The 16163-nt window shown below is 39.6% G+C and overlaps 1 protein-coding gene and 1 long non-coding RNA gene across 3 annotated transcripts in view; one reads left to right on the top strand and one right to left on the bottom strand.

The window, feature by feature from the left end:
• Positions 1 to 16163, bottom strand: part of MAP2K6 (mitogen-activated protein kinase kinase 6) — a 139169-nt gene that overhangs the window by 66506 nt on the left and 56500 nt on the right. The window lies entirely within an intron of this gene.
• Positions 1828 to 12106, top strand: MAP2K6-AS1 (MAP2K6 antisense RNA 1). The gene is made up of 2 exons (NR_145982.1): positions 1828 to 2112; positions 9810 to 12106. It is a non-coding gene; the product is annotated as an MAP2K6 antisense RNA 1 (long non-coding RNA).

Here is a 16163-nt window from a genome sequence, read left to right as displayed (position 1 = left end):
AATGATCACTACAGCTGCATGGGGTATTACTTCCTCTGTTTCGAGGACCTTGTCCACATACACAGAGCTTGTACAGATGTAAGCAGTCGGCTTTCCCATATAATTGTATTTAGTCCTTCAGCTGAAATTACTCTTCATCACAAGTCTGTTTCCACTAGCTCGTGTAAGGATTATTGCTGAACTATGTCAGGGCTATATATAAATTCTGGTATCCAAAGGAAAAAGTCCAGGATTAAATCCACTGTACAGGCTTTCTACTCACATGTCCAGGCTCTTCTGGATCACAGAGGCAGGTTATAAAACTGTTTACCAGAAACTGTTTTGACACGACCCAGGTCTATCCAGGGAGATCTAGACTCAATCAAAAAACTAAATTGCCACGACCTTTGCCCAACATATTTTCACCTTCCTGGACTTTGGTTCCTCTGATGCTAAAATGGAAAACGTTTGGGCAATCGACTAGCTGATTTTCTCACTAAACGGTGCTCTGGTGTTTGAGAAGGGTACCACACCAGCTTTACAGATAAGGTCACCAAGTTTTGTATTCTTCAATAGCTCTGTAGTGTGTTTACAAACGAATGCCCCTTCCCTAAGCAGGGGGTTTGGATGACATTGAAAAGCCTATTCCCTACTTGACATAAATTACTTTAGCAGAAGGGTAAGGCTGAAGTGACTATTTGAAAAGTTGTGTCTGCGATCCTTATTTGCAGATGCTGAGCAAGATCAGTGCTGTTTGTATCATGTGTGGCAGTGTCCCCTCTCAATATCAAAGTAAAGGGCTCTTAGTCCCTTAATGGATTCCCTGCTCACCTTATCCCAATGATATTCTCAACCTGATGCTTCTCACTTCCTGGTAGAACACTCATCAGTCTCAGACTAGACTAAACACTCAAGATCACTGAGATTCTGAAATCTGGCTTCATGCCAGAAACCTTAACATTCAAAGTGAAATGAACACACTTAACCAAATACATCTTGATGACTCTCTCAGGGCATTTTCTGTACAGGGAGAACTTCCATCTCTTAATCTCAAGAATGGTACTTTCTCCCCCAAGAAACTGGTCCATTCTCCAATGCCTAAAATATAAACAAACAAAGTGGGACACCAAATAACACTCTCACTGCATCCAGCCCTGTAGCCAGAATACGAGTCTAATTACAGTCGTTGGGCTTCAAGTACCACAACGTGGAAAAACAATTTAGAAAATGCCTTCTCCTCCTTGTGGCCACCCCACTTCTCCTTCACATGCAGAATGCTTCCAAGTATGATATGTTCTAGACTTAATTTTAGCACAAGGCTCTTTGCTTTGTAACTCTGGTCTCTTCATTCAAAGTTTACATAAATGGAAATAGGAAAATACACAGACTTTTCAAAAAAAAGTTGACTGTGAGAAAATAAAAAGATTGTAGTCTATTGAGAAAGACATAAACATCTAAGGAAAGTTTTGATGCTTGGGACTTTTTGTACATTTGTTACTACTTTCTTAAAAAATGATGGGAAATTTGAGCAACTGTCAAGCCAAGAAAAAAAGCCCATGAGGGAAAGGGTCAAAAGAGGCCAGAGAGGTACACAGAAATGATGAAGCAGTGTCCCAAGGGACAACGTGGGATCAAGAACACAGGAGACAGGTAGCCTCAGAGACAGGAGTGAAGGATGTCTCTCTTTAAGACAAGAAGGAAAAGGGGCAAAAGCGGGTGACAAACAGAAAAATCTGATGTGAAGGGAAGCTGTGAGAGGCACTCAGTATAGATGTATAACAGGGTGTTCTGCCAAGATTTCCCATGGGGTCCTAAGCAGCATGAAGCCAAGAAACATTAGGAACAGCCACAATAGGTCAGCAAAGGAGTTCCCGTAGTTTCAAATGAAATTTTACCCAGTACTCTAACAGTGTATAAGCTTCTGAGGAAGTAGTCAATGTTCCATAGAGATAAGAGAAAATTCAAACAGGCAAACAACTCTGCAAGGCTGAATTGCAGGCATGATCTAAAACTTCCTTCTTTCTTCTAAAGGCCTCCTCCGTTCCAAAGTTGCTCATCCTAAAACCTGAAAAAAAAAATGACTCAGAAGTGGTTCCCATCTCAAGAACTACCCACGAGTCTCAGTGGACACATGTGAGTATGAGATGTGAGTATGGGATACTTTTCTAGAGATTTTAGAATGTTTGCTACTGAAGAGTTTGAATTGTTAATTTTAGAGTTGGTCCATGACATTACCTTTGCACTCTGACTCTTATTAAAATACCTTTATTGAGATATAATTTACCTATTCACTTATTTAACATGTATTTCACCTATTTTAATTGTACAATTCAATGGCTTTTAGAATATTCAGAGCTGTGCAACCATCATCACAATCCATTTTAGAACATTTTTATCACCCACATAAAAAACACCATACCCATTATCAGTCACTCCCTCTTTTCCTTCAACACTACCCTTCCCTCTAGCCCCTGGCAACTACTAGCCTACTTTCTGTCTCTACAGATTTGCCTATTCTAGATATTTCATATAATGAAATTATACAATATGTGCACTTTTGTGACTGGCTCCTTTCACTTTGCAAAATATTTTCAAAGTTCATCTGTGTTGTAGCTTGTATCAGTAATTCTTCCTTCCTATTGCTGAAAATATTCCATTGTATAGAATACCTGTGCCACCTTTTATTTATTCATTCATCAGATATGTATTGTTTCCACTTTTTGGCTATTATAAATAATGCTGCTAAGTACATTCATGTACAAGTTTTTTGAGTGAGCATACGTTTTTAATTCTCTTGAGTATATACCTATGAGTGAAATTGCTAGGTCCAACAGTAACTCTATATTTAACCTTTCCTGAACCTGCCAACCTGTTTCTCAAAGCAGCTACACCATGTTACGTTCCCATCAGCAATGTAAAGGGTTCCAATTTCTCCACATCCTCACCTACACTTGTTATTTTCTGTTTTTGTTACAATTGTCATCCTAGATGTGAAGTAGATCTCACTGGGGTTTTGATTTGCATTTCCCTGATAATCAGTGATGCTGAACATAATTTTACGTATTTATTGGCCATTTATAGATCTTCTTTGGTAAAATGTCTGTTCAAATCCTTCACTCATTTTTTTAGTTATCTTTTCAGTATTAAATGAAAGGTTCTTTACATGGTCTACATACAGGTCCTTTATCAGATACATAATTTATAAATATTTTCTCCCATTCTGTCAATTGCCTTTTCACTTTCCTGATTGTGTCTTTGCCACAGAAAAATTTTTAACTTTGATGAAATCTAACTTACCTATCTTTTCATAGGTGCTTACGGTTTTGCTATTATATCTAAGAAATCGTTGACAAATCCAAGGTTATGACAACTTACACCTATGTTTTCTTCTAAGAGTATTACATGTTTAGCTCTTATATTTAAGTATTTGGTTAATTGTAGTTTTTGTATATGGTGGGAGGTAAGGGTCAAAATTCATTCTTTTACATATGTATATCCAGCAGTCCAAGCAACATTTGTTGAAAAGACTACTCCTTTCCCCCTGAATTGTCTTGGCACTCTTGTCAAAAATCAACTGATTGTAAATGCAAGGATTTATTTATGGACTTTCGATTCTATTCCATTTGTCTGTGTCTATCCTTAATCCAGCATCACGCTGTCTTGATTACTGTAGCTTTCAGTAAGTTTTGAAATCAGGAAGTGTGATTCCTCCGAGTTCATTCTTTTCCAAGGTTGTTTTGGCTATTCTGAGGCCTTTAAATTATCTTATGAATTTCAGGATTAGCCTATCAATTTCTGCAAAGAAGTCAGCTGAAATTCTCATGAGAATTGCATTTAATCTTCAGATCAATTTGGAAACTACTGCCATCTTAACAATATTAAGTCTTTTGACTCATGAACATGGTACGCCTTTGCATTTATTTAGATCTTCTTTAATAATCTTTCAACAGTGTAGCTTTCAGAGTATAAGATTTGCATTTCTTTCGTTAAATTTATTCCAAGGTATTTTATTCTTTTTGAGGATATTATAAAGGAAATTATTTCACCATATTTTATTTACAAATTGATCATAGCTAGTGTATAAAAATACAATTGATTTTTGTATGTTAATCTTGTATCCTGCACCCTTGCTGAACTTGCTTGTAAGTGCTAATAGTTTTCTTAGTGGGTTCCTTAGAATTTTCTATCTACAAACAGAGATCTGTTTGTGTTATCTACAAACAGAGATCATCTTACTTCTTCTTTTCCAGTGTGGATCCTTTTGATTTCATTTTCTTGTCTAGCAGTACAATGTTTAACACAGATTGCAAGAAAAGACATCCTTATGTTGTTCCTGATCTATGGGAGATGTCCTCTGATTTTTGCTTTGACTCCTGCCAAGCCCTCATGAAGACAGTCATCACTAGATTAATAAATTAGGGCCTGGTCTAATATATTTGGAAACTACTGCCATCTCCTCGTCATTAAAAGTTCCATAAGATGATAGTGAAAATATAAATTGGTAAAGTCCTTTGAAGGAACGCTTGGCAAAAATCTGTCTTATGAATGCATAGTCCTTTTGTCCCAGCAATTCTACCACTAGGAATATATACTAAAGATATAAAGATATAACATCTCCCACTCATGCAAAATGATGTATGTACAAGTTTTTTAAACACAGTATTGTCTGTAATAACAACTGTCTTAATAACAGGAGATGGCTAAATGAGGAACAGGGCATTCAACAATGGAATGCTATGGAGCCAAAACAAGAATGTAGAAGTTTTTTTTATGTATTGATGTGGTACGATCTCCAAAATACATTAAGTGAAATAAGATGCAGAAGACTACAAATTACCATTTGTATAAGAAAATGGCAAAAAAAAAAATACACAAATGGAGTTGCTTATACATGCATAAAATATCTTTGGAAGACTACATTAGAAACTGGTAATATCAGTTGGTTATGGGGAAGGCACACTGTTGCTGGTGGATAAACATAAGAGAAAGACATTCTACTGTAAACCTTTATAAACTTTTGCAATTTTTGAACCAAGTGAATATAGTACCTATTCAGAAAACTAAGTTTAAAAAAATAATAAATCACATACCATAAAAGCCAGAAAATAGTTAATAGCAAATAACTGAACAGTCTATGAAGGACTGAAAAGAAATGGTGCATGGTGGTATCAACAGTCCTGACATTGCCAAAACCTAGGTTATTTTTCTGAATCTGATGCTAACCAGAAACTTGAAGACATAAGTTGCCTAACTTTTGTGGACTCAATTTCTTTGCCTAAAAATCCAGGGATCAGAATAGTTAACTTTACAGTTTATACAGCTAATTGAAGTCAACTTTTTCTGGGGCCAACCCTACACTAGAAATTTTACGGGCATTTAAATCTCACAGCCACCCTATAAAAATGAACTATGTCCTTTAAAAAAATTAAAAATAGGATTACCATATAATCTAGCAACTCCACTTCTAGGGATATATCCAAAAGAATTGAAAGTGGGGTATCATGGGCCAAATTGTATTCCCACAAAATTTATGAAATCTTAACTCCCAGTACTTCAGAACAGCATTTTATTTGGAAATACATTTTTAAAGAGGTAACTAAGTTAAGATATGGTATTTAGGATGGGTTCTCATCTAATATGAATGGTGTCCTTATATGAAGAGGAAATTTGGACATGGACACACAGACACACACACAGGAAAGATCATGTGAAGATATAGAGAGGGACAGTCATTTATAAGCCAAGGGGAGAGGCCTCAGAAGATATTAATCCTAATAACACCTTGATCTCAGATGCCTAGCCTGCAGAATTATGAGAAAATAAATTTCTGTTATTTAAGTCACTCAGTCTAGGGACTCTGTTATGACAGCCCTAGCAAACTAACACACGGGTCTCAAGGAGATATCTGTACACCCATGTTCATAGCAGTATTATTCACAATTGCCAAAAGGTGGAAGCAACCCAAGTGTCCACTGACAGATAAATAGATACACAAAATATGGTATATAAAGACAACATGCAGATGATGGAAGATTATTCAGCCTTAAGAAGAAAGGGAATTCTGACACATGCTACAACATGGATGAACCTTGGAGACACTATGCTAAGTAAAATAAGCCAGTCATAAAATGACAAATACTGTATGATTCCACTTAAACAAGGTACCTGGAGTAGTCAAATTCATACAGACAGAAAGTAAAGTGATGGCTACTAGGGGCTGGAGGAGGGGGAAAAAACTGGGGAGTTACTCTTTAATGAGTGTGGATTTTCAGTTTTATAAAATGAAAAAAGAGTTCTGGGGACAGATGCATACCAATGTGGATGTACTTAATGCCACTGAATTATACTATAATGATTAAGACGATAATTCTATGTTGTTGTGTTTTACCACAATTTAAACATCTTTCAAAAGGGCACAAATGAACTATTATTCTCTCATTTCACATTTCATCTAAACTAAGGTTTAGATGCTAACATTGTTTTCTCAAGTTCTAACAGTTAGTATTCCCATCCAGGTCTGAATCCAAAACCAAGCTAGAAGTACTACTTTCCCATCCTACCATTAAATTTTTCCATTTTAAATAAAATTTTTTAAAAAACTTTTTTTTTCTATTACCTCCAAATTCAGGTTGTTTTCAGATGATTTTGCTTCCCCAACAAGCATTCTGCTTGTTTAGCTACCCTGGAGGTGTACGCTTTCTTCAGAAGTTTACTTGAATCATTCCCATGCTTCCCAATCTCTATATTCCTGATGGCACTATAGCTTCTTGTTTCAGGATCCAAAAAGAGGAAGAATGAAATGGACTTTTTCCAAAATACCCAGTGGCTCTAATGACAGATGCCAAGACAGCTTCCTCCTTGTATGCCAAAGGCTACATTCTCTGCAGTTGAACATATTACTACTTCTCCTCAATTGTCTCAATTTCCAAATACTGTTGGACCAGAAGCTTTGCTCTCTGAAAAGCTGAAACTAGTCCCCGGGGTAAGACTGTGGAGAGTCCTGTTCCCCGTGCTTGCCAAGTGGCAAACAGGTTAGGGCTGGTGAGAAGAACGGAATGTCCTGTGAAAAAAAGGAGGGACGTAGAAGTAGCCACAAGCAATAAGGGTTGCTGCCATGGTGTTTCATGTGCTGGGGAACGAAAGTTAAAGAACATGAAGGAGCTCAGGGTACCGATGCAAAATTCTAGGAAATGATGCTACGTTCTTTAGAATGCTCGGCTCTCCAGAACATAAGGCCCTGAATTGCTGGAAGATTTTAAAAAATACTTTTTGCTTAAATTTTATGAACAAATAAAAAAAATTCAACCTGGGAATATCAGATTAATTCTCCAAATCCCTTTATACTGTGAAAGAGCCAAGAGTTAAGTAACTCTGCAGCTAGAGTTGGGAGGCCAAGCCGGGTGGATCACTTGAGGTCAGGAGTTCGAGACCAGCTTGGCCAACATGGTGAAATCCCATCTCTAGTACTAAAGATACAAAAATTAGCCAGGCACGGTGGTGTGCGCCTGCAATCCCAACTATTCGGGAGGCTGAGGCAGGAGAATTGCTTGGAGGCAGGAGAATCGCTTGAACCCAGGAGAGGTTGCAGTGAGCTGAGATCGCACCATTGCACTCCAGCCTGAGCAACAGAGTGAGACTCCATCTCAAAAAAAAAAAAAAAAGAACAAAAGGAAAAGTACATTTCCTGGGCTCAGCTCCCCAAATATTCTCACAGTAAGGCAAAATCAGTGACATAAGCCTCCAAGTCATTGCTCAGATTCTGTCATGTTACTGAAATTTTGTTACATTTAATACAGATTGAATATACTTTATCTGAAATGCTTGGGACCAGAAGTGTTTTGAATTTTTTTTTTAATTTTGGAATATTTGTACATGCACACTGAGATATTTTGGGGATGAAACCCAAGTCTAAACATAAAGTTTATTTATGTTTCACAGACACCCCTTTACACATAGCTTGAAGGTAATTTTATACAATATTTTAAATAATTTTGCACCTGAAGCAAACTTTGTGTTAAGTACCCGAGTGTGGCATTTTTCACTTGTGGCATGATGTTGGTGCTCAAAAAGTTTCACATTTTGGAGCTTTTCAGATTAGGGATGCTTGACCTGTACTGCTTGGAAGAAGTAGGCCATGAACTAGGGCTAAGAATTTTTTTTTATAAAATAAATAGCTACAGCTATTGTAGTCATCTCTTTCATCGCAGAATGCATCCTGTTCTAGATATTCTGGCAGAAGCTGTGATCACCGGTCACACCACACTTCCTTCTGAGTGTTTACACAACCACATTATTTTTCAGTGAATTGAATACTGTATAAGCACAGGCTGAAACACAGCCACATCAGACCTAGAAAGAAAAATGGAGACACACACATTCAATATGCATCTAAGCTCAAAACCTGTCCAAAGTCTTCAACCTCAGAACCTAAGAGAAGTTCGCCCCTGTGCTAGCTCACGGCTGGCTCTGGCACAAGGCAGGCAAATGTCTTACCCAAGGAGCCACATAAGCTAACAGTGCCACCAAGAAAAGAACTGGAAGAGATAAATACATAGCACTTTCATTCACTCATCCTCTCCTCAAATATTTACTCAGTACTTACTATACGTTAGTTAGCACGGGGCACTATACACTACGCCTTGAAAGTAAAATATGAGGCCAGGCACCGTGGCTCATGCCTGTAATCCCTGCACTTTGGGAGGCCGAGGCAAGTAGATCACCTGAGGTCAGGAGTTCGAGACCAACATGATGAAACCCCATCTCTGCTAAAAATACAAAAAATTAGCTGGGCATGGTGGCAGTCGCCTGCAATCCCAGCTACTCAGGAGGCTGAGCCAGGAGAATCACTTGAACCTGGGAGGCAGAGGTTGCAATGAGCTGAGATTGAGCCACTGCACCCCAGCCTGGGCAACAAGAGTGAAACTCGGTCTCAAAAAAAGAAAGAAAGTAAAACATGAATGAGAGCTAGCCCCCTACTCCTGCCCACCCCCATCTTCCCATATGTCTCTTCTGGAATGAGTAAGTTACACAGTGATATCCCCAGAGGCTACAAGAAGGACACATATGCAATGGTAACTTCCTGCGTGGCCTGAATGAGCTGAGGGAATGGGGAAACTAGAAAGCAAACTGGCCTCTTTGGTTGAATTTCCAGTCTTTGGAGAAGTTGTCTATAGCTCCTTCTAGGCTGCCTACCAAGTATAATTCAAACTATTCAAACTGGCGTTCAAGCGCCTACCCCAGCTGTGCTGTCTTCTGTGTCCACTCCTAAGAAATAACTATAAGGCACTCAAATGGAAGTCCCGCTATTTCCTGGAACACACCCAATCTTGGTCTGGACTCTACTTTGACCATACTAATCTTGCCACCTTTAACACCTTTACCTGTCCTCTCTCCCTGTAACACATGCACACCACTCTCTGTTTATGAAGAGTTCTTTTTCCTGCATTTTTGTCCAATGCCCTCTTCCTATGAACCCGTCCCTCATCCACTATCTCCTTCCCTTCCCTTCCATCTACAAGACTAGAAAGTTATCTGTGCATCTGCTGCTTTGCATAGTCAATACCAGGCCCAAAGCAGGAACTTAACAGATGTCACATCTGCTAACTCTCCCAGTTGCATAACGAGTTGATATCCTCATTGTGCAGACGAGAAACTGAACTTTAGAATAGTCAGGTAAATAAACCAAAGTATTACAACTAGATAAGAGTGGAGCCAGGTGTGGCTTGTTCAAAGCCTGCATTTTCCTCATTAGACCCTTTGGAGTGTAGTGTGTGCATGGGACACAATTTATGTAACACTCCTAATTTATCTCCTCTCACCTCCCACTTCAGTCCCCGATGCAGCCTTCCAATCCAGCAGAGGTTCCAACCAACTTCCAAACAGGTGCAACTTGATGGCACCTCATTTTTGGCTGTACCAGATGCCTTCTATCTCTGGACTCCTGCCCTCAGACTTCTCCGACACCTGAAGAAAGCTTCTGGGACAGCTGACATGCACAACCTGGGAGCTAAAACATGTGGGACCAGCTGTGACCAATGAACAATGATGGACAGGAGACGATAACCCCATTAGTTCCTTACAGTGCTGAGATAAATTTCATGAGTCTCCTAGAAGATCTGATGGGATTGAACATCAGTTGTACCTAGCATGGCCGCTGTACTGGCTTTCCTTCCTTCCCTATTTCATCCCCCCTCGTCCCTCCTACTCCTTGGGATCACATTGACAAATAAGTCTCTTGCATGCAATTCTTTATTTCAAGCTCTGTATTCAGTTAGCAGACAGCAGAAATGTGGTCCAAAGCAGGAGAGGACTCAGCAGCAGCAGGCTCTGGTACAATCTGCCCTGTCACTCAAGCCATGTGAATGAGAAGATCCAGTGGTGGCTGGTTGAATGCATGACTCCCCTGTGGATGTCAGCCAGAGTCTTCTTCTCAGACAACCAGTGCTAGCACAATGGGCCCATGGATGAGATGGCTCAGGTGGCAGGATAAAGGCTGTATGTGGGCTCGGTATTGTGGGCTTTCTCTTAGCAATGACCTAGCTATTACCACTGCTGAATGGTCCAGCCAACCAATGGCAGAGGGAGATGCCAATCTCTATAGCACCTTCACAGATATCAGCCAGGCCCTTGGGGAAAGGCTGATCATAACAGACCACTTCCACCCCAAAAAGGAGAGGGGAGATAGAAATTCATGCTTACATAAATTGACATGTACTCCAGGTTTGGGTTTGCTTTCTCTGCCTTTAGGGTCTCTGCAAGTGCCACTATTTGAGAACATAAGAATGCCTAATCTATCAGTGTAGTATCCCACACAACATTGCTTCAGACCCAGGGATCGATATATGTCAAAGGAGGTGCAGCAATGAGTGTATGAGTAGGGACTCCATGAGTTTTCTCATATACCACCTCATTCACAAGCATCCAGCTTAACTGAAGACTGGATTGGCCTGTTAAAGGCTTAGTTAGGAGACTAGCCTGAGAAACACAATCTGCGATTCCAGTATCACCTTGATTCACGCCCCGGCCCTGGAATTTCTGCAAGGTAGCTTGGTTTTTTGGTTTTGTTTTTGAGGGGTTTTTTAGTGAAGAATGGTGTCAGAATCTGGGTAGCAGGTGTTCTCATTGTTATTGGGATCTCATTTCTTCTTGGTCCTTTTAAGAGGCAGAGCTAGGAAATATATGACCGTATGTATACTATACATATATATGTCTTCACACATATTTATAAATATACACATACATACATCTGCACATAAACACACATATATGCATTCACTTGCATATTTTAGAAATCATAAATTCAATTCACACCAATATGCCAATTCCAATCCACTCCATAGGGCTATTTCTGCCTTTTCTCATTTGCTCAACCTTATTATACACCTAAAAAGGGTTTCGAGATTGCTTCATCCATACTACTACATGGTTCGCATCTTAAGAGTGATGAAACTTTGTCCCAAAGCTACCCGGCAGGATTACACTCCTCTTATTTGTGAGAAATGTATCACATACCCATGGCTGAACCAGTCTCTAGCAAAGGAGACAGGGGACCATCATGATTGGTTTAGACCAATCATTCTCCTCCATCCCCACCACCCCTGGGACCAGAGGCCAGGGCCCCCTCTCAAACACACCATCCCATGGAGGAGGGTGAGCTACCTGGAGATAATAAGGTTTCTCCTAGGAAGAAGGAATGCAGGCTACAGAGCATGGATATGGGAAAGGCAACCAACTATCTCCTATATTAACCTACAATCCAGAGTGGAATAGGCAACATAAGACTTCTGAAGTTATATATAAAATGTTCTTTGTGTGTACACACGTGAGAGGAGAAAATCCTCAGTCATCATTTTCTCAGAGGGCTCAGTGACCCAAGAAAAGTTTAGAACCATTTTCATTTTTAAACAAACACAGGGCCGGGCGCGGTGGCTCACGCCTGTAATCCCAGCACTTTGGGAGGCCGAGACGGGCGGATCACGAGGTCAGGAGATCGAGACCATCTTGGCTAACACGGTGAAACCCCGTTTCTACTAAAAATACAAAAAATTAGCCGGGCGTGTTGGCGGGCGCCTGTAGTCCCAGCTACTTGGGAGGCTGAGGCAGGAGAATGGCGTGAACCCGGGAGGCGGAGCTTGCAGTGAGCCGAGATCGCGCCACCGCACTCCAACCTGGGAGACACAGTGAGACTCCGTCTCAAAAAAAAAAAAAAAAAAAAAACACAGATTTCAATCTTAAATTAAACAAGAACAAGAGGTTTCCAGGAACTTAAACCCTAATTCAGAAAATACAAGTGTTTTCTCAATCTCATTTATTACACTCTGCTTTGAGGGCAGGAATCAGAAGACTGCACAGCTTTTGTCAAAATACAAATGTTTGTCTCAATTTGAGTCCTCTGAGCTTATTCCTAGAGCCTGACTTTTCAGGCTTCTAAGGCAATTAAGGGGCACTGAATCCTCAGTGAATTAGACATGCTGCCTTTTAAATTCTCATTCTTCTAAAGAAAAAAGGGGATGGAGCAGGAGTCCCTGAAGGAATAAAGGAAACAGAAGTGCAAACCGCCATAAAGAAGAAGTGAATCCATGGCTTAGGAGCTAAAGAGCAAATGTCAAGGCAGCTTGTCAGTTTCAATGTGCTCTTGGGATTTCATCCCATTGGCCCCAAATGCAGCATTCAGGGTCCTAGAAGTATTACCACCATCTGGAACAGCTGTGGTCATAGAAAGAGATCAACTTGTCCAGAGCTTTAATCCTCTAGGGCTTCTTCAACAGTTCCATTTAATCTATCTGAAAAGGCTTAGTACAAAACTGCAGCCATTACGCAGGGTAAGAAGGAGAGAGGGAGCATTAAAAAGCATGTGCTTTTGGGTGTGGCTCTTACATTTTTGCCAGGCAGACAACTGCTGTTCAGGCAGAGATGAACGCATGGAATCTAGAAGATTTTACTCAGCCACCTCAGTCAAAAAGTGGCCCTATAAAACAATCATCCAAATGAAAGACTTTTGAGAGTAAAAGAGGATACTATTAATGATTAAACCAAGACAAAAGCCACGAAGCAGGGCAGACTCAGCCAACCTATGACATCCTCATCAATCAGTACTTTATATTACTCTCCTCTGCTCTGGTCTCTGTCATTGACTCAGCACTTTGTACATGCCCAACATTGTGTTAGTATCATAGAGAATACACAAAATTAATTAAAATGAAATAGCATACCATAAATACCATAACACACCAAAACATGTAGCCCTTGCCCATACGGAGCCAGCTCTTCACATTAACATCACTCTGGCCGCCTTAAGCAATAGCCATTTGGCTAGCCTTAAAATTAAAATTAACTGATGTTTACTCTGAGCTAAGGCATTAGGAGCATTTATTTGCATGCTTTGGTTTTTAAATCTTTGATTCAGAATATGTCCAAGTGACTCACTAGTCTATTTTGGTCTTGGGCATTAAGCTGCATTCAGAAAGTCTGGCTTACGATCACACATACCAGGGTAGAGGGAGGCTCTCCTAAGAAACCACTGGAACATCTGCCAGAGGTGATGAAACCAAACAGATCTGATCAATAACACCTTGAAAATAGATATATTGAACCCTGAACACATTTTTACATTTTAAGTCAACTCCAAAGCGTCTCCTGGATCAATTATCATTGATGTACATTAACTGCCATTCTCTAGTCCTCTTAGCTAAAAACATTTCAAACCTAGGACTCCCAATTTCTTGCACTCTTCAACACTGGAGGGGGACAAAAGTAATTTTACCACTGATGCTTAAAGAAAAATTTACCTTGAAAAATAAATACCATAGATTTCCTGAGTTCAAAAAGAAAATATTTATTATAAAATTTAGAAAATAAAGAAAGGTATAAGGAAGAAAGCTGAAATTACCCAAATTCCACTACCCAGGCAAAACTGCTATTAGTATTTTGGTGTATTACTTTACAGCCATTTTTGTACACAAACCTATAACTATATATGCTTGCATAGATATAGAATTTTCTCCTAAAATTAAGACCATACTGTGTATATAATTTTTAATACCATTTTTATCCCTTGGCATTTTACTGTGAACATTTTCTGCAGAAATTAATCCTATTTTTGTAAACTTTTTTCAGTTGCAAATTATTCCACTCAAAATACAGTTAAGTACTCACTTAACATTTTCAACAGTTTCTTGAAAACTGTGACTTTAAGCAAAACAACATATAATGAAATCAATTTTACCACAGGCTAATTAATATAAACAAGAATAAGTTTCCTACGGCATATTTCTGATCACAAAAAATAACCAGATTTCTAAATAAAGACCAAGACACATCTAATATTAACACTGAAGTGAAAGTGGGCTATGCATACATTTAAGAAAGATGAATAGGCCAGGCGCATTGGCTCACGCTTGTAATCCCAGCACTTTGGGAGGCCGAGGTATGTGGATCACTTGAGTCCAGGAGTTCGAGACCAGCCTGGAAAACATGGTGAAACCCCATCTCTACTGAAAATACAAAAGTACAGAAATTAGACGGGCATGGTGGCGCATGCCTGTGGTCCCAGCTACTTAGGAGGCTGAGGCAGGAGGATTGCTTGAGCCCAGGGAGTAGAGGCTGCAGGGAGCCGAGGCCATACCACTGTACCCCAGCCCGAGCAATAGAGTGAGACTCCATTTCAAAACAAAAGAATAAAACAAGTAAGATAATGATGTTGCCAATTACTCCAGTTCAGGGTGGCCAGATCTTATCCCAGTAGCTCAGAGTACTGAGCTGGGACCCAACCTGGACAGGATGCCATCCCGTCTCAGGGTGCACCCACCCTCACCCACACTCACTCAGATGGGGACAATGTAGACATGCCCACTAATCCACATGCACATCTTTGAGATGTAAGAGGAAATTTGAGTGCCCAGAGGTTACCCTTGCAGACACGGGCAGAATGTACAAACTCCACACTGACAGCGGCCCTGGTTGGGAACCGATTTTGTTTTCTCATCAACACTATAATAAAACAATGTTGAATGAAATGGCATTATTCAAGGACCTACTGCACTACAAATCTTGCTTATAACGATGCATATTTATTTGTAATTTATTATTGTTAATGTTAAACTTTTTTTTTAGATTCGGGGGTACATGTGCGGCCTTGTAACAGGGAGTATGGTGCTTAATGCTGAGATTTGAGCTTCTTTTGAACTCATCAAGTAACCAAATGCAGAGCTAGCATGCATTTGTAGCATGTGTGAATATGTTTGGCTCTTTAAAAACACCAAGTTGAAGAACGATATGTTAAGTCACTCAGCTTTACAGGACTTGAAATCAACATGCTCAGAATAACCCAAGGCCTCTGAAATGGATAAAGAGATAAAAATCAGGGTGGTATCAGACTACTTTCTCTAAAGGCCAATCAGAACAGAAGGACATCCCCGCGGGGAAGATGTGCTAGATACTGCAGCTTCTAGAAACAGATAGTAATTTTTAAATCATACGAAATCATTCATCTAAACATTTTAATACTTTCTACAGGCTTTATATTTTGTGTCAAGTACTGACAATACAAGGAGGGCTGAACCATAATCTTTTCTCTCACAGACTTTACAGCCTACAGAATAATACAGATTTAAAGCTGACACTTTGTTGTGTTTTTTAACATATGAATTATTTATGGAATTTTTTATTTGCTATTTTGGGTTTTTTTGTTTTCCTTTATTTTATTGTATTCTATTATTTTAGATTCAAGGGTACACGTGCTAGTTTGTTACATAGGTGTATTGCATAATCATGAGGTTTGGGCTTCCAGTGTACCCATCACCCGAATAGTGAACATTGCGCCTAGTAGGTAATATTTTTAATCCTTACCCACTTTCCACTCTCCCCTTTTCTGGAGTCCCCAGTGTCTATTATTTCCATCTTTATGTATGCACTGTTTAGCTCCAGCATATAAGTGAGAACATGCAGTATTTTGTTTTCTGTCCCTGAGTTACTTCACTTAGGATAATGGCCTCCAGCTCCATCCATGTTGCTACAAAAGGCATAATTCCATTCTCCTCTGTGGCTGTATAGTATTCCATGGCATATATATACACCACATTTTCTTTATCCAGTCAACCACTGATGGATGCTTAGGTTGATTTCATGACTTTGTAAAGTTGACATTTTGAATGCTTGAGCCCACTGAAAGCTGGTGGTTGAGAGTG

This window comes from Homo sapiens, chromosome 17, assembly GCF_000001405.40.
Source record: "Homo sapiens chromosome 17, GRCh38.p14 Primary Assembly".
Classification (NCBI taxonomy): Eukaryota; Metazoa; Chordata; class Mammalia; order Primates; family Hominidae; genus Homo; species Homo sapiens.
Note: the sequence above shows the minus strand (reverse complement) of the source record. Positions and strands in the feature narration are given on the sequence as shown.